The 24,379-nt window shown below is 55.6% G+C and overlaps 1 protein-coding gene across 6 annotated transcripts in view, besides 3 other annotated features; it reads left to right on the forward strand.

Annotated features, from left to right (window-relative positions):
* Positions 1–22,738, forward strand: part of SLCO4A1 (solute carrier organic anion transporter family member 4A1) — a 48,238-nt gene extending 25,500 nt beyond the window's left edge. Inside the window, exons 9-13 of one of the 6 annotated variants that reach the window (XR_001754251.3) lie at positions 10–182; positions 475–539; positions 928–1,076; positions 17,439–17,647; positions 19,276–22,738. Coding sequence is in view for 4 of the 6 variants with exons in the window: in XM_011528792.4 (XP_011527094.1) it covers positions 10–182; positions 475–539; positions 928–1,076; positions 4,454–4,735 (669 nt within the window). In the remaining 2 variants the exon portion in view is untranslated. Of the gene's footprint in view, positions 1–9; positions 183–474; positions 540–927; positions 1,077–1,948; positions 4,292–4,453; positions 9,338–17,438 lie in introns of those variants that run through there. The other 5 variants (XM_005260203.4, XM_011528792.4, XM_017027827.3 and 2 more) reach the window with 5 other exon arrangements.
* Positions 3,381–4,339: an enhancer, noted in NCBI's record as "H3K4me1 hESC enhancer chr20:61302735-61303693 (GRCh37/hg19 assembly coordinates)". NCBI's record gives its function as "activates a minimal SCP1, AML or CMV promoter by ChIP-STARR-seq in naive H9 embryonic stem cells {active_cell/tissue: H9 hESC(naive)}" and the evidence as "EXISTENCE:reporter gene assay evidence [ECO:0000049][PMID:30033119]".
* Positions 15,493–16,036: an enhancer, noted in NCBI's record as "H3K27ac-H3K4me1 hESC enhancer chr20:61314847-61315390 (GRCh37/hg19 assembly coordinates)". NCBI's record gives its function as "activates a minimal SCP1, AML or CMV promoter by ChIP-STARR-seq in naive H9 embryonic stem cells {active_cell/tissue: H9 hESC(naive)}" and the evidence as "EXISTENCE:reporter gene assay evidence [ECO:0000049][PMID:30033119]".
* Positions 16,037–16,579: an enhancer, noted in NCBI's record as "H3K27ac-H3K4me1 hESC enhancer chr20:61315391-61315933 (GRCh37/hg19 assembly coordinates)". NCBI's record gives its function as "activates a minimal SCP1, AML or CMV promoter by ChIP-STARR-seq in primed H9 embryonic stem cells {active_cell/tissue: H9 hESC(primed)}" and the evidence as "EXISTENCE:reporter gene assay evidence [ECO:0000049][PMID:30033119]".
* Positions 22,739–24,379: the final 1,641 nt, after the last annotated feature.

The following is a 24,379-nucleotide window of genomic DNA, read 5'->3' on the forward strand; positions in this document are numbered from 1 at the left end:
GCTTCCCAGGTGTACCGAGACTGTAGCTGTATCCCTCAGAATCTTTCCTCTGGTTTTGGCCATGCCACTGCAGGGAAATGCACTTCAACTTGTCAGAGAAAGCCCCTCCTTCTGGTTTTCATATTCGTTGTAATTTTCTTTACATTCCTCAGCAGCATTCCTGCACTAACGGCAACTCTACGGTAAGCTGGGGTCGGGTGTGCGCTTGTCCAGAGCTTTCCTTGCAGCACCCTGAGGCGGAGCTCTGCAGATCCTGAGACAGGAGCACTCCAGGAAACACCCAGGTCTAAGCGGGCCTGTCTGTCACTGGTGGCAGGAGAGACCTCACTGTCTCTGATCTCTGACGAGGGGCTTCCCACTTGGGGGGGGGTGATGATGTGGCTGGGGACTGGTCCAGGAGGCCACTGGCCTAGGGGGTGACTTGGCATGCAACCCCACTTCTGTGGGTGCTGACGCTGTGGTTTTCTATTGCAGATGTGTCCGTGACCCTCAGAGATCCTTTGCCCTGGGAATCCAGTGGATTGTAGTTAGAATACTAGGTACTGTGCAGTGTGAGGAAGCCATGGTCAGTTGCACAGTGTGCTCACTGCACAAGGGCATGGGCAAGTGTCTAACCACCAAGGGGATGTGCTTCCCAGCAGGAGGCTGTTCCCGCCTGGGAAGGGGTCCATTCCCTAACTGTCCACTAGAGGGGCCCATCGTCATTTATTTGCCCAAAGGCTTTCCCTGGGAGATCATGGGAAACTCGCAGCCCCAATGCCGAATGCCCAAAGAAAGGAACGTTTAAGCCCTCTTTGCACCCCCTGAGAACTCCAACGGCCAGTATCACCTTCCCAGAGCCCATCATTCCAGGCCTCTTGGCTGCCTGCCCCCTGCCTAGCCCCTACCCACCAGGAGTGTGGGTGCTGAGTGGGCTTCTCTCCGCAGGGGGCATCCCGGGGCCCATCGCCTTCGGCTGGGTGATCGACAAGGCCTGTCTGCTGTGGCAGGACCAGTGTGGCCAGCAGGGCTCCTGCTTGGTGTACCAGAATTCGGCCATGAGCCGCTACATACTCATCATGGGGCTCCTGTACAAGGTAAGCAGGCCCAGGGAGGGGACAGAGGGTCTGCTCTGAGGGTGGCTGGGGGCTCCGAACATGCCGCGATCTTCCAGCAGCTTGGACCACAGCCTAGTACATCACAGATGTTCCTGCAGCCAGTTTGTAGAAGGCCCTTCCCACATTCCTCATGAGTTGGTTGTGGGGAGAGGCAGGTGGGCTGCAGGGCCTCCTCCTGGGGTTCACTGTCCAGGCCCCCAGCAGCTCCAGCAAAGCCCAGGCCCAGGCCCTGCTCCCTCTCCCACCTCCTGGGACTGCCCCTCCACAGTGTGGTCTTGCACGTACCCGGGATGCCCGTTAACTAAAAGCTTTGCAGAAATAAGAAGTGGCTGCTCCTGTTAGAGCGGCTTGACTAGCTGGTCCACTCCGGGCCTCAGTCTGGGGGGCTGGCGGGCAGGTTGCAGCCTCTCCGTGATCAGTGCGCCTTGGATTCCATTGGATCTCTTAGTCTGGCCCTCATTTTTCAAGCTAACAGAAACTTTCTGTTGTGACTTTTGGCGTATGCTACCTGGGAGGAAACGCAGTATTTGTGTTTGGAATTTGCCCCCATTAGACGATAAAGCACAAAGCCTTCTAAATAAAATGCGGTCCCACGGCCAGCTGTTCAGAGGATCTTGACGCTCTTCCTTGGGTGACGGACCCAGGAGAGTTCATCCTGCAGGAACCCGTGGCCTCAGGCTTTCCAGGAGGGAGGTTAGAGAAAGGGAAGGAGCCCAGCTGGTTCACCTCCCCTCGGATTAGCAGAAAAGAGGCGAGTCTGAGCAGGGCCTTGTGTGGCTCTGGAGAGAAGCAGTGGGTTAAGGAGACATACACCTCGGTTTCCCCCTCATCTGAGGTTTCACTTTCCACAGTTTCAGTTACCAGAGGTCCACCACAGTCTGAATGTATTAAATAGGAAATTCCAGAAGCAAACAGTTCATAACCTTTAAAGCACGCGCCGTTCTGCACAGTCTGGTGAGATCTTGATCTGTCCTGCCCAGGACTCGGATTCTCCCTTTGTCCAACTTTGGAAGAAGGCAAGGTCAGAACTTATTCTGCAGGGAGCTTTGGGGATATTGGATACTAAGGCCCAAGCCCTCTGTGATACGCCTTTCGCTTTGGCATAAAATAACGGTTGACTCTCTGTTAGGCGCGTCTCTGCTCAGGGAGTGGTGGTGTTTGGGGAAGCCCAAAGGCACATGAGCATCAGGAAATTGACCATTTGACTTCATAAGACATAACCTTTGTCCAGCGTGTCCAGGCTATTCATGCCACCACCTGTTGATCACTTAGCAGCCGGTGTGGTTCCCACATCCCCCATCACCATATCACAGTGCCATGTTCAAGCCACTCTTATTTACCTAATCATGGCCCCAAAGCACCGGAGCACTCACGCCGCCGTTCAGCTCTGCCAATGGGAAGCCGGAGGCGCCTCCTTCAGCGAGAAGGTGTAGTTCCTTGGCTGGGCTTAGTACTACCCTTAGACTCACGCGTCCACAGGGGTCTCAGTGTCTGCGGATGAGGGGGCTGCTGTACTTTCCCAGGGAGCCGTCCCCAGACTCTCTCTTTGCTGTGTTGGATGCATCCCTTAGCTGGGAGCAGCAGGCTGAGAGCCCTCCACACGCAGCCATCCCCTGGGCTCAGCACAGCCAGCGGGAGCCGTATCCAGAGGGTCAGAGTTGGCCTCAGCAGCGCATGCGTCCATGTTAATTGTAGCGGGGGAGCACACGGTGTCTCCTTATAAACACCCTCGCATTCCACTTTGTCCTGCACCGAGTCAAAACAGCCTCACTCCCTGAATGCAGGCTCAGGGCCATCAGCCAGGCTGACACTCCAGGAGGCACAGTGGGTGTTTCTGGTCCACGCCCAGCGTGGAAATCATAGTGGTGCACATGTACTCTGCGTGGGCATTGCGGCAGCATCCGTGCTTGGACCTCACCGCCTTTGGGGCCCACGTGGGATTCCTGCCACATCGTCCTCTTGCCCTGCAAAGTCGGTGCAGCCCCTCATTGTTGACAAAGAAACCAAGACCCTGAAGGTTCAGAACTGCCCATGATGGTGGCACCGGGGCTTGAACCCCGGCTGTGGTGGTGACCGGCGACTGGCTCTGTGTGAGGTTCCTGTGGCCGCCACGACAAAGGACCGCAAGCGGGGTGGCCTGATGTAGCAGAACCAGATTCGCTTGCAGGTGGGGGCAGGGCGGGCTCCTTCCGCCGCTCTGGCTCTCTGCAGCTGCATGTGGCCTTTCCCTCTGTCCCTGCCTCAAGTCTTCCTCTCCTTTCTCTCATGAGGACACCAGTCATTGGATTTGGGGCCCACCTTAGATCCAGGATGGTCTCATCTCAAATCCTTAATTACATCTGCAAAGACCCTATTTCCAAAAAAGGTCCCATTCACTGGTGTCTGGCACTGTTCAACCCATGACAAGCCCCTCAGTCCTGTGCCTCTGTTTTTAGTCAAAGGGTGTGTTTCATTCCCTCTTTAACAATATTGGCGTCTGCTCTACAAACCGGTTATATGGGAAAGATACCCTCTCAGAGCAGGATGGGTTTCCGTGGACCTGGTGAGGGTGCTGCAGGCTGGGGCAGGGACAGGACTGGGACAGGCCCACCAGTATCCAAAGGCTCTGGCCGAGCTCCCCACGAGGTCCAGCGGGCTCCTCTCTCCCCAGGTGCTGGGCGTCCTCTTCTTTGCCATAGCCTGCTTCTTATACAAGCCCCTGTCGGAGTCTTCAGATGGCCTGGAAACTTGTCTGCCCAGCCAGTCCTCAGCCCCTGACAGTGCCACAGATAGCCAGCTCCAGAGCAGCGTCTGACCACCGCCCGCGCCCACCCGGCCACGGCGGGCACTCAGCATTTCCTGATGACAGAACAGTGCCGTTGGGTGATGCAATCACACGGGAACTTCTATTTGACCTGCAACCTTCTACTTAACCTGTGGTTTAAAGTCGGCTGTGACCTCCTGTCCCCAGAGCTGTACGGCCCTGCAGTGGGTGGGAGGAACTTGCATAAATATATATTTATGGACACACAGTTTGCATCAGAACGTGTTTATAGAATGTGTTTTATACCCGATCGTGTGTGGTGTGCGTGAGGACAAACTCCGCAGGGGCTGTGAATCCCACTGGGAGGGCGGTGGGCCTGCAGCCTGAGGAAGGCTTGTGTGTCCTCAGTTAAAACTGTGCATATCGAAATATATTTTGTTATTTAAGCCTGCGTCCCCGTACCGCGTGCTTTATTTCTATGAGTTTGCAGAGTTTGGTGGTCTCGCCATCCTTGGCCCACGTCCTGTAGTCAGCCCTGTGGAATCCGTGGATATGAAAAGTTGGCCTTCCTTATCCACAGGCTCCCCCGTAAGTCGGCCTTCCTTATCCACAGGCTCCCCTGCTGAGGATTCATCCCACCTTGGATGGAAAATGCAGTTTTTGTGGGAGATGGAACTGGAGGGTACGGAGGGCTGACTGCACATACAAATATACATACATGAGTGTACATATGTTCTTATATAAACGTGTCACAGTAAAATTGTTCCTCATCTTGCGTTACATTTCCCTCGTTATTCATGGGGTGAACAGCTGGTATCAACTGCCTTGCGTCCCCCAGAGCCATATGTTGAAGCCCCGGCCCCAGGATGGCTGTGTTTGGAGGCAGGGCCTTTAGGAGATGATTATGTGCGGGGTCATAAGGGTGGGTGCAGGTCCCACAGGACTGGTGTCCTTAAGAGACCTCTGCCATCCGGAGCTCCTTATGGCCAAACCCTTCCCACTCGCTGAGCCCTGCAGCCCCAGGGCCTCTCTGAGGACTTAGTTTCAGGTGGGTCAGATCAGAACCCCCGGGTGGTCCCCAGCACTGAGGATGGACGCCACCCTCGCCCTCCGGTGCTCACAGTCTGCAGCGCCTGCCAGGAGTTCTCAAAACCCAATGCGTCGGTCAAGATCCCCCCCAAATTAGGGTACAATCCGGTGCTGGTGACATTTTGATTTGCTAAGTAAGGAGATAAAACACAGCCATAAGGAGAGGGGACCTGGGCTCACCAGGACGCTTGTGTGGAGCTCACTGCTGTGACTGCTGGGCCAGGGAGGGGCATGGGGGGGGCACAGAGGGCCAAGTTGGGAAATGATGGGGAGCAGGGGGTGCAGGGAGAAACTTCCCGAGGGAGGTGACAGAAGGGAGTGCAGGAACAGACCCTAGAGGGAGTACAGGGGCTCTGGGGAGCCAGGGAAGTGGATCGCCACTCAGAAGGGAGTGGGGAGGACGAGGAACCTCACCAGGTCCCACCTTTGCCATGTTCATCAGGAGTCCGGTTCATCAGGAGTCATCAGAGGTGGGTGGAGCTAGGGTCAGGATGAGGCTCGGGCATGCTGGGCAGTGCCGGCTTCCAGTGACCTGCCTCCTCCGGGTGTCACTGGGACACACTTCCAACAAGCAGGACTTAGCACAGGGCAGATGCCACATCCCTGACCGGGTTATTAGAGACCACGACACTGCCCAGCCCACCTTCTGACCAGGTTATAAGAGACCACGACACTGCCCAGCCCACCTTCTCGCCACTCTTCTCAAGGGCTGCCCTGGCGGGAACCCCGCATGGCCAGGAACTGGCCTCTGCCTACGGTCGGCAAGAAACCGGATGCTCAGCCCTGGCCTTCAAGGACTGGAATCCTGCCAAGGGCCACGTGAGCCAACCAAGAGGGGACGACACCCTGTAGCACCTGGACTGCAGACACATCAGAGACCCAGCTCCGTGGTGCCTGAATTCTGGACCCACAAAGGCTTTGACATAGTCAACGTGTGCTGCGAAAAGTCACTAAATTCTGGGGCAGTTTGTTCTGCAGCCATAGCTAACCAACACACTGGGCAACAGCACAAAACAAGGGCCAGTCCTTTGCCGCTCACCTGTTCTCCATGGGCATGGACCTCACCCCCCAGGCTCGTCTATGGCAGTGGCTGGCACTTGGCCACTGGGCTGGGGCAGGAGGGAATCAGGGTGGAAGGTGCCAGCCATCTCCTCCTAGAGTCCCACGAGACCATTTCGGCGGATGCCTGCCCTCAAGCCCTCTGCTCAGAGCTACGTCCCGTGGTCCCAGTGAGTGGTGGGCGAGGCAGGAACCAGCCGTGCTCCCAGCTGAAGGAGGTGTTCTGGTACCGGAGTGTGGGTGTTGGGGCACAGCTGGCCGCACCTGTCAGAGGCGTGTGGCACTGAGCATCCGTGTGGAGGTGTCCATGGGGCCCTCGGGGAGACTCATGGGAGCTGTCAGCCTGCGGGCTGAGCTGAGATTGGTCAGGGGAGCTCATCCGGGAAGGCTGGGCAGATCCAAATGGAACCCGGGGACCTCAGGACTGAGCAGGTGGAAGAGGCTGCGTCCTCACATCAGGGAAAGGGGGGAAGAGCCCAGGGACACTGGGTGGAGAAGGGATGAGAGGGAGGCGGCACACGCGGTCTGGCCACCAAGGGTGGTGCACCCTCTCTGCTGCCAGTGGTCAAGATGGTCTCTGACTCACAGATGACGATTCCAAGGGTCTGAGCGGCCCTGTGTGTTCCCCGATGTCTCACAGTGACAAATGGGCAGAGGCAGGGGCTGTGGACTGACAGCATCCCCCAGTTCGTAGGTCGAAGCCCCAGCACCCAGTGTGATGGTGTTAAGAGCTGGGACCTCAGGGAGGTGACTAGGGTGAGATGAGGGGGTGAGGGTGGCCCCCCGATGGGATTCGTAGCCCTGTAACAGAGGAAGAGACCAAGCTCCTCTCTCCTCTATGTGCTGACACGACTAGAAGACAGCCGTCTGCAGACCAAGGAAAGGACCCTCCCTGGGAGCCCAGCCTTGCTCGTGGGCTTCGGGACTCCAGAATGTGGGTAAGGCACGTCCGTTGTTTGAGCCGCCAAGCTATGGTTCTGTGATGGCCGCCGAGCTGACGGAGGCTGTAGAGTTTCGACTCCGGTCTGGGGGCTCCAAGGACTGTCCCGCTCCATGCCCTGCCCCCACCCTGGATGCCAGGAAGGAAGAGAAACGCCCCGAGCTGCAGAGAGGACAGAGAGAGGGAAGGAAGAGGACCAGCATGTTCGCACAGGGCACACAGTGGAGGCTCCCGCCCAGGATGGAGGGCAGGTATTCCAGGGAGCGGCCCCCAAAGCGACTGGGTGTATGCTGGGCTGCTCATCGGCATTGCAAGGCATCCATCTCCCTGCCGGCAGTGAGACTTCGTGGTGCGTGATGGATGAGGCCACCAAGCCCAGATTCCCTTCCCAGGTCCAGGAGGGCCCCTCCAGTGGGCAGCCCGGGCTGCCGGCCACCCACGCGGGCTCTGCCACCCCTCAGGCAGCTCCCAAGAGCTGCGGGGTCTCTGCAGCTCTTGAGCTCTGCTGCCCTCGCCTCGATCTAAGCTCCCCTTGCCTTCCCCATTGACAATCCGCCTGGCTCTGACTCAGGCCCAGGGAGGAGACAGGAGCAGATGGCTGACAGGGACAGTTGGGACACAGGGGCAGAGAGGAAGCAGTCTGGTTGCAGCCTGGTCCCGGCCCCAGCCCCCCAGGCCTGATGACCCAGCCTCTGTGTGACTCAGTGCAGGGAGCGTGTGGCTCCTGGCCCTGCCACAGAGGCCAGAAGGCATCTGCAGATGCCCACACAGGCCCCCCGCTTCTCCGGGATCACGGGCGCACCCAGCCTGGTGGGCACATGGGCCCTGGATACGCCCTCGGCTGCATGCTGGCCTGGGTCCTGGATGCCTCCCACAGCCAGCCCCTGTCCTCCCACGTCCTGGGAGGAGCCCCTGGGATTAGCCAGGAAGGTGCCGGCCACAGGGCCCGGCTGCCTGTGGGGAGGAGAAAGACATGCATCCTGGGAGAGGGAGAGGCAGGCAGGAGTCCTCCAAGCCCACTTGGTTTTCCCTCGAGAGATTTTCCACGGCTGCTGGGATGAGGGCTGCGGGGGCCTCCTGTGTGCTGTGCACTAAATGTTCTTCAAGAGTCAGACGCCAGGAGCAGCTGGAAACGTCAAATTTTCTGGTTGTTGGACCAGTTCCTCTTATTCTTCTGTGCATTTAAAAATTATCACTGAATTCGGCCGGCTCGCCAGCGCACGCCTATAATCCCAGCACTTTGGGAGGCTGAGGCAAGCAGATCGCTTGAGCCCAGGAGCTTGAGACCAAACTGGGCAACGTAGCGAAACCCTGTCTCTGTAAAAAAAAAATACAAAACATTAGCCGGGCATGGTGGCGTGCGCCTGTAGTCCCAGCTACTTGGGAGGCTGAGGTGGGAGGATCGCCTAAGCCTGGGAGGTCAAGGCTGTCGTGAGCCATGAATGTGCCACTGCACTCTGGCCTGGGTGGCAGAGTGAGACTCTTTCTCAAAATAATAATAAGAAGAATTCCTACAACCCAACAATGAAAGGATGATCCAATTTAAAAATGGGCAAAGGATTTGACTTTTATTTCATCACAAAAGACATAGAAAAGGCCAACGAGCCCAGGAGAAGATGCTCAAGATTTTCCCACTCAGGGAAGTGCAAACCAAAGCCACAGCGCTGACCGTATCAAAAACAAAAGCAACAAACAAACAAAACCAGAAAACGACACGTCGTGGAGAACTTGGAATCCTCACACACTATGGGTGGGAATGTAAAACGGTAAAATGGCACAGCCGCTTTGGAAAACAGTTTTGCGGTTCATCAAAAAGTTAACCATGGAATTAGCAGATGACCCAGCAATTCCACACCTAGTATCTACCCAAGAGAAATGAAGACATATGTCCACATAAAGACATGCATACAAATGTTCACGGCAATGTTGCTCATAACAGTCAAAAAGTGCACCAGCCCGAATGTCAACTGGCTGATGAGTAGGTAAATCAGCGTGGGCTGTCCACACAGTGGGTCTTGCTTGGCCGTCAATCAGAAAGAATGAAGCCCTGCGCTATGGTGTGCAGGTGCGCATGGACCTTGAAACATGCTCAGTGAAAGAAGCCAGACACAAAAGGCCACGTGTTTTGTGATTCTTTTGTAAGAAATGTCCAGAATGGACAAATCTGTAGAGACAGAAAATGGACTAGTGGTGCCAGGGGCTGGGGGAAGGTGAGGCGGGAGCGACTGTCATGGGTGCAGGGCGTTTTGGTGCAGTGATGAAATGTTCTGGAGTTAGATAACGGTGATGGTTGCACAACTCTGTGAACATGCTTAAAAAACCGAATTGTACACTTTAAAGGGTGAATATTTGGGGATGTGACTTATATCTCAGTAAAGCTATTATTAAATACATCCATCCATGCATTCATCGCTGACTGCCTGCCCTGTGCTTTCACTCCTGTAGACCATGGAGATCTGTTGGGGGATCTGTGTCTGTTCCATAACTTTCTGGTGTCTGTTCCATAACTGCAACTCTGCCAGGAGAGCATGTGTGGGCCCCATGTTCAGATGTACCACAATCTCCCTCCCTGCTCACTTCCTTAGGGTGGCAGGAGGCAGAAAGGGGGCTTGAGACCTACACTCCAACCCCACTGAGCAGAGGATGGCAGGAGGCAGGAAGGGGGCGTAGAGACCTGCACTCCAACCCCACTGAGGCAGATATTTTCCAACAACGGCCACAATATGTCCCATTTCCTCTGCTGGAGGTGGGGTCTGTGCACCCTCTTTTTGAGCCTGGCAGGCGATTGGGAGTGCCTCGTGGCAGAGGTGACACAGCTTCTACTGGCAGTGCCTTCTGGGAACGCTCAACTTGGGAACCCAGCGCCACGCTGTGAGCAAGCCCAGGTCATGGGAGCCCCCGCTCTGGCACCAGCTGTCAGCCAGGCCGAGTCCGCCGTGATGGGGGTGCCGTCTTGGGTGCTCCAGTCCCCAGCTGGGCTCTCTGTCCCCACTTCCCCTTAGGGGAGGGAATCAGCCCTTCCCACCTAGCCACACCTGCAGATTTGGGAAGGAAAGAAGTAAGGATGCTGTTTTCAGCCTGAGGGCCTCTGCTGTCAGTAAAGGCTTGAAAGAAAGTGAGGCAAAGGTTGATGGAAGCTGGAGGAAGGGAAAACCTCAGAAGACAGGAACAGTAGGTTATGCAGCGCTGTGGCCTGCAGGGACACAGAGGCAGAAAACGTGCAGATGCCCTGGGCGAGCGGCGACTCCAGGCAGAAACGCCAGCAGGCTTTATTGCAGCTGTGCATAAGAAGGAGAAGAGAGGGTTTTGTTTAACTTCAGTTTTCAAGCAAAATTTAGATAAAATTAAAGAAGTCAGGACTTAACAGAATTTAAAAGAAAGCTGTTGACAATGCCAAGTGCTGATGAGGACTCTGGTGGCTGGAACACTCACCCGTCGCCGGTAGACGTGGAGAGCAATACGGCCGCTCGGGAACCCAGCTCGACAGTTTACTATAAAGTTAGACCTGAACCTTCTTATAACACAGAAATTCCACTCCTAGAGAAAGGCAAAATTATGTTCACACAAAATCTTGTACACAAATGTTTCTTACAGCGCTATTCTTTTTTTTTTTTTTTTTGAGACCGGGTGTTGCTCTGTCACCCAGGCTAGAGTGCAGTGGTGCAATCTCAGCTCACTGCAGCCTCTTACTCCCGGGTTCAAGCGAATTTTCACAATCATCAACAAAATTGGAAACCACCCAAATGTCCTCTAGGAAGTGAAAGGATAAATAGTCGTACAGCCACACGATAGACTCAGCCGTGAGAGGGGGGCACTGTTAATATGCAACAGGGACGAACCTGGGAGGCACCACGCTGAGCAAAAGAACCAGACCCCAGAGGTTAGTAGTGTGTGGTTTCACTTACACAACAGCTTCCAAAAGGCAAAGCTGCAGGGATGGAGAGGAGACAAGCCGTTGCCAGGGGCTGGGGTGGAGAGGAAACTGTGGCTTTTAAAAGTAGCATGGGGCTGGGCAAGGTGGCTCGCGCCTATAATGCCAGCACTTTGGGAGGCCGAGGCAGGCAGATCACTTGAGGTCAGGAGTTCGAGACCAGCCTGGCCAACATGATGAAACCCCATCTCTACTGAAAATACAAAAATTAGCATGCCTGTAATCCCAGCTACTGCAGAGGCTGAGGCAGGAGAATCGCTTGAAGCTGGGAGGCAAAGGCTGCAGCAAGCCGAAATCACACCACTGCACTCCAGCCTGGGCGACAGAGCAAGACTCTGTCTCAGACAAACAAACAACAAAAAAGTAGCATGGCAGAGCTGCTCTGGGTCACGAAGCTATCTGTGTCCTGATGGTGGACGTGGTTCTGGGTCATGAAGCTATCTGTGTCCTGACGGTGGACGTGGTTCCACAAATCCATACATGTGTCAAAACTCATCAAATTCCTTTTTTTTTTTTCTGATACACATTCTCCCTCAGCCACCCAGCTTGGAGTGCAGTGGTACAATCATGGCTGACTGCAGCCTTGACCTCCTGGTCTCAAGTGATCCTCCCACCTCAGCCTCCCAGGTAGCTGGAAGTACAGGCACATAACCACCACGCCCAGCTAATTTTTGTATTTTTTGTAGATAGGGTGTCTTGCTATGTTGCCCAGGCTCGTTTCGAACTCCTGAGTTCAAGCGATCCTCCTGCATTGGCCTCCCAAAGTGCTGGGATTACAGATGTGAGCCACCATGCCTGGTTTATGGAATCACTTTTTACAAGCCAGTTTTACTGCACAATAGCTTAAAAAATAAAATCAAAAACACTGTTTCTCATTCCAAGATTCTCCAGGTGGTAAAGGATTCTTAAATTAATGAAAGGACGTCAGGCCCAGGCCACAGCAGCAGCAGAGAGTCTAAGGAGGGAGTCAAGGATGTGGCTCAAAACTCCTCTGTTAAAACGTCAGAAAAGTTTCAGGTGATTATTCATAGACTCTCTCGAATAAAGGAAAGGTCTGCAGTGGATCTTGAGGGTATACCTTAAAGACCCTCTACACGAAACAGAGAGTTTCTAAGAATCTTTGGGGAGTTGTTCCAGGGCTACCCCCAGGAATCCCCCAGGAGAGGAGAGCTCGTCTTGACAAGATTTCTAGATCGAGATTTGGGCTGATGGGGTGAACCCAAGGAAGAGCCATAGGACCCACAGTGTTTTTATAATGATCGAGTTCAACGTTCGTAGAAACTGCTGCTGTATTTGAAATTTCATTTCCCAGTGCCCTCTGCTGGTGTATAGAGATGACGGTTGAGTCCCGTGTGCTGACCCTGTGTCATGAAACCTGCTAGGCCCACTTTTGTGCAGATGCCATGGGATTTCTACATAAACAGCCATGTCATCTGTGAAGAGGGAGAGTTTTAATTTCTTCTTCCTCTCCGACCTATATTCCTTTCATTTCTTTTTCTTGCCTTATTGCACTGGCTGGAACCTCCAGTACAATGTCAAATGGGAACGGTGAGAGAAGGCATCCTTTACCTGTTCCTCGCCTTAGGAGAAAACAGTCCACCTCTCAATGCCTCTCAATGTGAAGTGTGACGTTAGCTGCATGTATTTTTTTAATAGAAGCCCTTTATCTGTTAAAGAGGTTCCCCTTCTATTTCTAGTTTGCTGATGGTTTTTTTTTTTTTTTAACCATAAATGGGTGTTGAGCTTTGATGGCCGTTTCTGAGTCTGTTGACACAATCCCACAGTAGATCTTCAGTGTTGATGTGGTAGATTGCGCTGGTCGCTTTCAGAATGTTAAGCCTGCCCCCCACCCCCTGGGATACACTTGATCATGGGCTATGCTTTCAAATGTTGCTGGATTCAATTTGCTGGTGTTGAGTTAAGGGTTTTTGTGTCTACGTTCATGAAAGATATTGGTCTCTAGTTTTATTTTCTTGTACTGTCTTTATCTGGTTCTGGTATATGGGTAATGCTGGCTTCATAAAATAACTTGGGAAATGTCTCATCCTCTTTGTGTTTTTCCAGACAGGGTCTCACTCTGTCACCTGGGCTGGATCACGGTGGCATGAACACGCCTCACTGTAGGCTCAACCTCCCCAGGCTCAGGGCTCAGCTGATCCTCCCATTTCAGCATCCTGAGTAGCTGGGACTATAGGCACAAGTCACCACGCCCAGATAATTTGTGTAAATTTTGTTGCCCAGGCTGGTCTGTAACTCCTGGGCTCAACTGATCCCTTGGCCTCCCAAAGTGCTGGGATTACAGGCATGAGCCACCCTTCCTGGCCTTCTTTTCTTTAAGTTGAAATAATGTTAGACTTCTATGCACCTGTAAGAAATAAACAATACAAAGAGATCCCTTGCACACTTTGCCCAGTCTCCCCCAATGGTAACATTCTACAAAACTGTACTTTGATATCACAAACAGCCAGCCCATCAACCTTATTCTGATTCCGTGGTTCTGCTTATACTCACTCGTGTGCGTGTGTATTAAGCCGTGTCACTTGTGTGCGTGTTTATTAAGCCTTGTGTACACACTCGTGTGTGTGTATTAAGCCGTGTGTACACACTCGTGTGTGTGTTAAGCTGTGTGTACACACTCATGTGTGCGCGTGTTTATTAAGCCGTGTGTACACACTCGTGTGTGTATTAAACCGTGTGTACACACTCGTGTGTGTGTGTGTTAATCCGTGTGATGTTTTATCTTCTGTGCAGGTTCTTGTATTGACTGTGCTCGAATATCCATGTACGGGCTTTGTGTGAACAAGAGCTTATCTCTCTGGGTAAAATCACCAGGTTGTGTGGTAGTTGCAGTGCCCCCATCCCTTTGTATATTTGTTAGAAGAGATTGCATAAATTGATGTTACTTAGAATTCACCAGTGAAGACATCTAGGCCCGGAGATTTCTTTTTCAGAAGGTCTCACTGAAAAAAAAATCCGTTTCTTTAATAAATACAGGACTATTCACTTTATCTGTTGCTTCTTGGGTGAGTTTGGTAGTTTGCAAAAACTTTTCAGCTACAAGGATGAACTAATTTTATGGAAAAGGGAGGTTGACCCAGAGGATGGAACTGAGAGCTCAGACAGCAGGGCGGCCCTGGAGAGCCATCCCCTGAGCTAGGACTGAGCCCTCAGCCGGGCCCCGTAACTTCACTCACCCAGATTTCAGGACCGCATGCCCGGGAGACTGCTGCGTGCCTCTCCCTCCCTGCTCTTTGAAAGGGGAGCCGACGGTGTGGTCTGTCTGTCCCACTACTGGTGTTAGCTTGTCAGGGGCAGATAACTCTTCAGTTCACAGCTCTTCAGATGGAGAAGGGGGTGCACCTGGGAGCCGTACGCCTGCAGCACCTTGTCCACACCTGGACCTGGCTTGCGGGACAAGACTCTGGGCTTGAGTCAGAGTTTGATGTCACCATGGAAAGAGACCATAGGGGAGCCAGGGCAGAAGGTGAATTTATTTTGCATGAGGGAGAATTGTGAATTGCCGGGGCCACAGAGTCGACTATGGCAGATGGCACTTTCCCCAAATGCCCATGCATTTGGACACATGAGTGTGGAGACCACAGAGGGGACAGATGAGCGTGGTGACCGCTGAGGGGACAGATGAGCATGGAGACCACGGAGGGGACTGAGGCTCTCCACTCAGGGGGATAGTGGGACATTCCATGAGTCTGCAGAAATCTGGGGCACCTGCCAAAGTCCAGGCATCATCCCATCAGATAGCAGCATGTGTGTGCATGTGACCATGTGACCACACACACACACACACACACACACACAGTTGTCATGCAGTGTCCCGGTGAATGGGGGCTCCTAGCCCATCCTGAAGTGGGGGTCGAATCCTGGCTGTGCCACTTCCAAGTCGTCTGAACTTGTGTGGATCATGTCACCCCCGACTTAGTGTCCCCATCTGTGAATGGGGCCCATACAGGGACCCCCATCATAGGGCATGGCGAGGGTTAACCGCTGCACCTGTGCAGAGCTCTGGGGACACAGCTGGACACAGCATGAGGACGGCCAGCATCCTCGCCAGTCCAGGGCCACACAGTGGTCTCTTTCTGTGCTGAGCTGGAGGCTCGAGGCCGCGGATGGACCCTGAAGCTGCGCAGGCTGTGAGGGCGCCCTGGTGCTTCCTCTCAGTGTCAGCTCTTTGGGGAACACAAAAGATGAACCATAGGGAGCGATTACTCAGAACCATAATTTGCACTTAGATTGATTTTAATCGGCAGCACATTAGAAAGGCGCATGTGATCACCGTTTAATGACTGTGATGTGCGTAATCCATTTTATTCTCAGCTGGCTCCTGTGGTAATTACATTTCTCTTGTGTTTAATTCATAACTTGATCATTTATTCCAAGTCGTGTTGGGCTTGGACCTCGGGCTCTCGGGAGCGGCCGTGACGGAGCTCAGACCCAGCACTTCTCCTGCAGAGCCAGCCGCTCGCTGCTGGCCATGCCTGGAGGTGGCGAGGACGGGCTTTTCCATCACTCTCGGTGGGGGCACCTGCTCCAGGGGCAGCTCCATGGGCGCTTGGCGGGACGGAAGCTGCGGGAATAGTTGATGTTGAGGTTGACGGCGACAGTGAGGACTGCAAGAATACAGTCACGTACCCTGGAACAATGTTCAGGCCAGTGATGAACCTGTAATACCACAGGGTCCCGTACAATATGAGACCTATTGTTGGTGCACCTTTTCTAGGTTCAGGTGTGTTTAGAGACACAAATGCTCACTGTTGCGTTACAGTTGCCTCTTGTATTCAGCACGGCAACACACAGTGTGGGTTTGTAGCCTTGGAGCAACGGGCGACACCATGTGGCCTCGGAGTGTCGTGGGCGACACCGTCTGGGTTTGTGTGAGTGCACTCTGCGGTGTTCGCAACCAAACACCGACTTTCTCAAAACTCTCTCCATCAGTAAGTGATGCAACGCTGCACCGGATGCAAGATCACGTGACCACACGCTCCCCACACATGCAAAGATCTCACGTGACCACGCGCTTCCCACACACGCTCACGCAACGATCTCACGTGACCACGCGCTTCCCACACACGCTCACGCAACGATCTCACGTGACCACGCGCTTCCCACACACGCTCACGCAACGATCTCACGTGACCACGCGCTTCCCACACACGCTCACGCAACGATCTCACGTGACCACGCGCTTCCCACACACGCTCACGCAACGATCTCACGTGACCACGCGCTTCCCACACACGCTCACGCAAAGATCTCACGTGACCACGCGCTTCCCACACACACTCATCCCCCAACAGCAGTGGGAGGTCCAGGGGCATGTGGCAGCCCCAGGGGTCCTGGGTGTTCTACTTAACCTTTCTGTGCCTCAGTTTCTCCCCTCTGAAATGGGGCTGATACCACAGTCTCAGTTTCACTGGGGTGATGAGCTGGGGTGCCTGGATTATAGGAAGTGCAGTACATGTGTTTGTTAAATCACTAAAACCATCAGCACCTTTGCCTGACAGGTGAGGAAACCGAGGCACAAGGAGCTGATTGGCCCGTGATGGCCTCAGAGCTCATCAGCCAACCCCCACCAGGCTACGCTGCCTCTTCTGGGAGCCTCCGGTCTCCCCAGAACATCTATCCACTGGGGTTAGATTTGTCCAATGCCCCCACCACAATCACAGGGGAGACTGCTTGTCAGCACAGGGCCGGCCACCCTGGCACCAGTTCAGTCCCTAGGGAGGGTCTTTCCCTGGCATCCCAGGGACTGGGCTGTCATTTAAGTTTAGGCCACTGACACGAGCTCATTCATCCCCCCACTCCCTCCCTCAAGTTTCCTGAGTGTGCAAGCAAACCCCCCCACTGCCCTGGACACACTCATTCCCGCCAGGGCGATCAGGGGTCCCCATAACTCATCAGGGCAGCCCCCACCCCAGCAATCCCCACACCTGGAAGTCGCTCATTAAGACCTCATTAGCCCGTGCTCCACCTCCCACCCCATGGCCGTGGTGAGTTTAGTCTGCAGCAACGACCCGACCACACCAGCTGGGCAACGAGAGCTGCGAGAATGGCAGCACTGTCTACTCTCCACTTTCCCCAGAAAGGCCCGGCCAAAGCATGCACAGGCAGCCACGCCAGGGGCTCCTGCAGCACCTCAGAGAGACCAGTAATGGGGCGGATTAGCAGGGGCCAAGGGTCTGGGGTGAGGCCACAGTGCATGGAGTGCATGGAGGTTGGGGCACGTGTGACCAGCCAGGGTCATAAAACACACATGGTCAGAGCAGGGCACTCAGCTGCCGAGGAGGGGGGTGGTGGGGAGGCACGGGCAGGCCTTGGGTGCAGTGAAGCAGGCGGGCAGGGGAGGGTGGCAGCGGGGTGTGGGGGCAGGAGGAGGGGGGTGGTGGGGAGTGGGGGCTGGGTCGGGGCTGGGCCCTGGCTGCCCTGGCTGCCCCCCGACACCTTCCCCAGCTGGTCGGTGCCCAAGGGTGGGTTCGTGGGGCAACTGCACCCGCTCCCTTCCACTCTGCTGTGGCCTGACCAAGCGGGCTGTTTTCTTGCTTTGTTTGTTGTTTTTTTCTTAAGGAAGAAGAGAATGAATTTAGAAGGCTGTAAACCCCATCTGAGCCTTACACATAGATCTCCTTGAATTGGATTTTCACCAAGGCCGTGATGGATGTGGAGTCTCGGCTTTCTGACAACGTCTTCCAGAGCAGGCTTTCTCTAGAGGGTGGACTGCCTGTGTTCTCCTGGGAGAGAATGCATTTGCTTCCGATGCCCAGGGCACGAAAGAGGTGGACGAAACAACGGAAGTGGAGGGGGTGGATTCTCTACCTGGGAAACCCAGCATGGCACACTCATATAGAATTAAGATCTTATAATAAGTGTGCAGATGCGCCCGTTCTAAGGAAATAAAGGGTTCTGCCCTCCTAAGAATTCTGCCCTTGCAAGGGGTGTGAAACCTGCAGAGCTGCTTCCCGGCTTCTTCCTCCAGGAAGCCCTCCGTCCTCCTCCAAGCTGTAGACACAGGGCTGGTAAACAGGTAGCCAGGCGCCCCCACAGCCTCGGTGTGGATCCATGGCTGAGCAAGTCCTCCCTGGCCACTCCCATCTCTGATGACAGAACATACCATGATGAGAGCCGCTGAATTAGCAAGACAGTGTGGGGAAGGTACCCTCCGGGGACTGGGGGGCTTCTGGACTCCGAGAGCCCCTGCGTCCATTCCTGTTTATCGCGGCCACTTCCCATCTGGGCAGGGCAATCTCTGTACCTGGGGAGTGCAGCCGCCCATGGAGACGGCTCAGAATAATGAGCTGAGTGTCTCCGTGTAGCTCCCGCCCCAGTGCGGAGCTCCTGGTACAGGATGGCAGGTGGTGTCTAAATAGCTATTCATAAGGACATTATCTCCAAGCACCGGGTGGAAACGAGCCTTCCTCCCCCCAGCTGAGAAGTGACAGGCACTTCCCTGTTTACTGAGGACAACAGTCAACCGCAGAGCGGCGTGGAGCTCGCAGTTCTTCTCATGTCACAGTTGTGACTGAGTGTCATGTCCTAAAGCTTCAGGATGAATGCAACTCCGCTCCACCAAGGGCCGGGGACAGAGTGAGAAGACACTGGCGCCAGGAGCGGGGAAGAGGGGAGGGGCCGGCAGCTGCCTAAAGAGCAGGCCCTCCTGCTGTTTCTGAGCCCCCGAGGGCCCTCTGACCCCAGACACCTTCCCTGCCAGCTGAACACCATTCCAGAGTCAGATCTTGGTTTTGTTTTCTTTCTTTTAAAAATATTTTATTATAAGGTGAAAAGAAAAGGAGAGTACACTAAGTCTTAGCCATGGTTGGCCCTTTAGTCTGAATTAGTATATCAGCTATTTTACCAAGGGCAGGTTTGGACGGTGCAGAGACAGGAAGAGAGTATCAGAGTGCCCAGCACCACAGAGAAGGGGTGGCTGGCCAGGGCGCCCATTGCAGGCAGATGAAAAGGGTGCCCCCGAACAGGCACGATGGGTAGGGCACCCCCAAACAGGAGCAATGGGAAGGGCACCCCCAAACAGGAGCAATGGGAAAGGCACCCCCAAACAGGAGCAATGGGAAAGGGCACCCCCAAACAGGCACAATGGGAACGGCACCCCCAAACAGGCACGATGGGAAGGGCACCCCCAAACAGGCACAATGGGAAGGGCACCCCCAAACAGGAGCAATGGGAAAGGGCACCCCCAAACAGGCACGATGGGAAGGGCACCCCCAAACAGGAGCAATGGGAAAGGGCACCCCCAAACAGGCACGATGGGTGGGGCACCCCCAAACAGGAGCGATGGAAAGGGCGCCCCCAAACAGGAGCGATGGAAAGGGCACCCCCAAACAGGAGCGGGGGCCTCTGAAGGCAAGTGGCAGCAGCTTCCTAATCCTGGCCCCACGTTGTTCCAAAGGTCCATGAAGTTGACCAAACGCCACACAGCCACGGGAGACACAGTGGCCACCCTGGGGCGTCTACACTGAAGGCCAAGGGCATGTGGAGGAAGAGCCATCTGAGCCGAGGCCCGGGGAGGAGCCAGCAGGCCAAGGAGGCGGAAGAAACCACGCAGTGGCGTCCAGGGCAGGGCAGGTGCGTCATCCGGGCGGGATGCAGAGACACGTCCTTCCACCAACCATCTGAGGAGCACTTGGCACCCACACAATGAGCCCGGCAAGGGCCACGCCAGGAGGCAGCGCACGGGGCAGAGCCTCTGAGCCAGAGAGGGGGAGGTCCCTTGGGAGGCCCCTGCCATCCCCCGCTCTGGGTGGGCCTCTCCAGCCAGACTCTGCGCCCCAAGGGCAGGGCTGGGCCTAAGCCACACCTCGGGGTGCACGGGCTGTGGGGGGCCGCTCCTGGACACGGAAGGACGACACCGGCTTCCCTGTACCTCTGCTGGGGCCGCGGGTCCCATGTCGTCAGCGTGGCCACTAGGCTGCCAGCCTAGCACAGCCTCCAGGGCAGCCATGGCCCAACCTGCCTTCCGAGCCTCAGGGGTATCCCTGAGCACATGGGAGTGCAGGAAAAGGTACCCCAGGGGATCCCCACTCACCTCCCGGCCATGTCCTACCAGGCACTAGTGCCGCGCTGCAGCCACCCCCGGGCCTTACCCACCCCCACCAGCTTCATTGCCTTCCAGGTCCCAGCACCACCAGTTTCATTGCTTTCCAGGTCCCAGCACCACCAGCTTCATTGCTTTCCAGGTCCCAGCACCACCAACTTCATTGCCTTCCAGGCTCTCAGCAGCATAAGAGACCTACACACACACACACGTGCACACATACATAGAAGGGGCTGACTCACACGCCACCCCATATGCAAGCCGCAGAAGCTGGGCGTCCACTGAGCAGCAGAGATAGCCCATCCCAGAGGGCAAGGAGGATCCCTGGGGTCCCTACGAGAACACCTCGCCCAGGTCCTGCCCGCGGCCCCCCACGAGGCCTCTTTGGGAGGGAGGCTGCCCCCTACACCACTCAGTGCTAGGACTTACCCATGCACCCCCCAGCCCTGTGCAACCCTGCCCGTGCACCAATGACCCCACTCACCCCTGACCCTGCTCACCCCAACCCCGCTCACCTGTAGCCCCACCAGGTTCTTAAGCAAAAGCTCAGTCTGTGTGCACACAGCAAACACAATTCTGCCTATATTTTCTCGGGGTTTGGGGCTCACATTGGACACTGGAGGCTCTCTTGAGTGAGTAAGAGCAGCAGCTCAGGCTTTTGAAGGCAAAATGGAATGGACGCAGGGCCCAGGAGACACCAACTGGGTGAGAGCAGGGCTCCAGAGCCAGCAGATGGCTGGGGTGGGGGATGCATGCCCCCTGCCACCCACTCCAGCAAACCCGGTCCCCTGACTTGGGTTGTGTCCAGCAATGGCTTTCTGGGCTTGAAGGCAGAGCTGCCAGGAGGAAGGAGTCCCTCTGCAATGTCAGAAGCACCAAACACAGGGGAGACCTAACTTTCAGGGCCTGGGGGAAGCTGGGGTGGCCAGGCTGGTGGGAAGGAGACATTAACATTTTCCGAGAAGCCCTTTAATTCTTCCCAATAAACCGAACGAGTACAAGCCTCAGCATGGAAGCACAGCTTTCTAGAAGCTGGAAAATCAGGCTCATCACAAAAGCTCGAGCACAGTTAATTTCCTCTGACATTTCCTCCTGTGGTTAGTCTTGGAGCCAGCAGGTGGCCGGAGGCGCCCCATTCTTTCCCATAAATGGACGGTCTCTAAGGAATCAAGTCAGGCCCTCATCTCCAAACCCTCATCCCATTTTTCCCTGGCCTGCACGTGGCCAGCTGTGCCCCGCGCCTCGTAGGCCTGTCCCTGGCTGTGCCCCGCGCCTCATAGGCTTGTCCCTGGCTGTGCCCCGTGCCTCGCAGGCCTGTCCCTGGCCGGCTGTGTCCCGTTCCTCGCAGGCCTGTCCCCGGCTGTGCCCCGTGCCTCGCAGGCCTGTCCCCGGCTGTGCCCCGTGCCTCGCAGGCCTGTCTCTTGGGCAGAGTGGCTCCCTCTCTCCATCAGTCCTTCCTCCATCACACCGGTGCTCGTGCAGAAGCCAGGGCTCGCAGACATCACCCTAGGCACTGAGGATACCAGCTGCCCGAACGGACAGACGGACAGATGCTCAGCCTCCTCAGGTGCTGGCCCATGGCCTCCCAGGCTGGATGAGCAGCAGGTCCCTACGGGGGACGTGGCAGAGGGGACCCCAGCCCCAGCAGGGCCCAGCGAGCCGGGTGCCCAGCACAGCACTCACCTGAGCAGCTGTCTCCACCCCGCATTGAGCCCCTCCTGGGGACCGCCCCTTTCCAAAGACGCCCTGGTCATCTTAGACCCCCAGACCCTCCGGAAGGCGACCGCCATGCCTTAATAACTTGCGGGGGCTCAGGCAGAGCTGTAGGGATCCTGCCAAGCTGCCCGATTCCTTGTGTTCCTGGCAGGGGGATCCACATCATCCTCACCCCACTCCATGTGTGGGACGGGGCACCCAGGAATGTCTGGGGCCGAGGAAGGGGGTGGACCTGAGGGAACCCCTACCTGCAGAAATAATCATGAAAGGGGTGGAGCAGATGCGGGGGACCCGCGTCCCCACCCTCACCCCCAGGGGCTGAGTCGACGCCTGCAGCCAGCGCCTGCACTCCTGTTCACATGGGCTTCCCTGGCCTCTGTGCCTGCTTTGCGCCTGCGCGGCAGGTGAACGACCCCAGCCCCCTTGCCTGGTGAGTGGGCCTGTCTGCCGTGGATTCCCCAGCTGCATGGTGCCTCGGGTGCCCGCGATGGTCCTGGCCCCCTCCCTCGCATCGGCCACCTCTCTGCTCCAGCGGTGCTTCCTGTGTGTCCTCCCAGTAAACCTCCTGCCCCTGACCCCAGTCTCCCCTCTGTCTCAGGGGCCCACAGGGAGACAGACAACCTCTGGGTGTCCGACGTCTCATCAAGTCCTTTGATACTCCAGGGGAGTGGGGTTGACAGTTTTCCATGGGAGGACGGAGCTCAACAGAGGGTGTCACCTGCACAAGGTCACCATAGGCTCTGACCCTGCAGCCAAGGAAGGCTCTGCAGGAGCCCCGGGAATCCCAGCCACAGAACAGGAGGGAGCTGCATGCTCTCACTCCACGCCCGCCCTCCACCGAGCCGCAGGCCAGAGCCCTGGCTGTGCTATTACTCACTATTATCTCAGATTTACCATTCATTTTACCAGGAGAGAAACTGCAAAAGGAAATTAACATTTCCATACTCTGCAGCGAGATACTTTCATGGACGCATTCTGAGATTTATTCTTTAATAATGGAAAGGAAACACCCTACTGGCTTCCAATTCGGGGCCTGACAGTTCATCCTATTCCAGGCAGAGAACCGCAATTCAATAAACGCGCTTTCATTTGTTTTGTTTTATTGACTTTGTTGTGTTAACTTGGTTGTGGGAAATGTCGAACATGGTAAACGGAATGAGGTTGGATCATGAACCCGCCCTCCCGGGCCTGCCGTCACAGCTTCCACTGTCAGCCCCCACATCTCACCCACCTGCCCGCGCACAGTCTTCCCCAAATTATAGTTCTAATATTATGTGGCAAAGTCAAGAATTCCCCAGTGATCCGTTGGCCGATTGACAGTGGAGAGGAGTGGTCTCAGGGGGCTGCCCTCGGCGCTTCTGTTAAAGGAGAAGCTCCCCAGCTCTGGGATGGCCCCTGGGGGTCTCCAGTACACCCCGCCGGGAATGACAGAGTCCCCAGGACTTCAGCGCAGCCTCTGCAGACCCCAGGCCGGGGAAGGAACCGAATACAGGGCTGTTCAGGAGCATTCAGAGTAGAAACCAGCTGGACCACAGCCCCGGAATGTTTTAAAAGAAGTAATACTAAGGTCCTAGGATTACATTTCCTCAAACATGTTTTCTTTTTTTTTTTTTTTTTTTTTTTTGAGACAGAGTCTCACTCTGTTGCCCAGGCTGGAGTGCAGTGGCATAATCTGGGCTCACTGCAATCGCTGCCTCCCAGGTTCACGCCATTCTCCTACCTCAACCTCCCAAGCAGCTGGGACTACAGGCGCCCGCCACCACGCCCGGCTAATTTTTCGTATTTTTAGTAGAGACAGGGTTTCACCGTGTTAGTCAGGATGGTCTCGATCTCCTGACCTCATGATCCCACCAGCTCGGCCTCCTAAAGTGCTGGATTACAGGCGTGAGCCACCCGCCTCGGCCCAAACATGTTTTCTGAAGTGACTGGGCTGTGTAGACAAATCCGTCTGTGGCAGCGACATGCTGCTGTGATGAAGCTCATCATTAGCTGTCACAGGAAGCAGCAAATTATCTCCAGTCGGCTCTTCTCAGACTGAAGCATCTCAGGAACTAATGTCGTTATTATCAAGCCTTGCAATTTCCAGAGAAGACAAGAACCTATTCATGCACGACGCTGTTAGAATTTTCCAACTGGTTACAGAAAATGAAACCGTGGGCTGGACCCACCATTTCCTGCCTTCACTTGCGGAGTAAGAGGCTCAGGAGCCACTGGCGAGAGACCCCCGGGGGGCATCTGGAGGGCCCCGCTGGCCACCTGGGTTCCAGTGCCCACGCTCACGATGTCTAGCTGCAGGTGACAAAATCCAAGTCAAACCAGCTTGAGGAAAGGCAGGGCCCAGGGCAGGACTCAGGGGCTAGAGCAACACCCCCAGACCTCTGTGCCTCTTCCATCCCCAGCTCTGCCCACGGCCACCAGGAACCCACTTGGCAACCGGTGAGTGGGGCCGCCCTTCCCAGCAAGCCCAGCGAAAGGGCTCTGGGTTCCACACTGGCTGATGCCCCCATCCCAAGACCCACCCCTGGGGCCTCGGGAATGGGGCCTCTGGTTGCTGGGGGGGGGGCAGCCCATCCCCCAGACCATGAGGGATGGGCTCTCTGTGACCCCGCAGAAGGTGCGGGGCTGGGGCGGGGCCCCCGTGAGTCTGGGAAGCTAAACCACCACAAGGCCCCTCCTATGCCTGGGTGCCAGCTGCCCACTGCAGAGCAGGGCTGCCTGACCGGCTGTGACGGCCAACAAAGAG

Source organism: Homo sapiens, chromosome 20, assembly GCF_000001405.40.
Source record: "Homo sapiens chromosome 20, GRCh38.p14 Primary Assembly".
Taxonomy (NCBI): domain Eukaryota; kingdom Metazoa; phylum Chordata; class Mammalia; order Primates; family Hominidae; genus Homo; species Homo sapiens.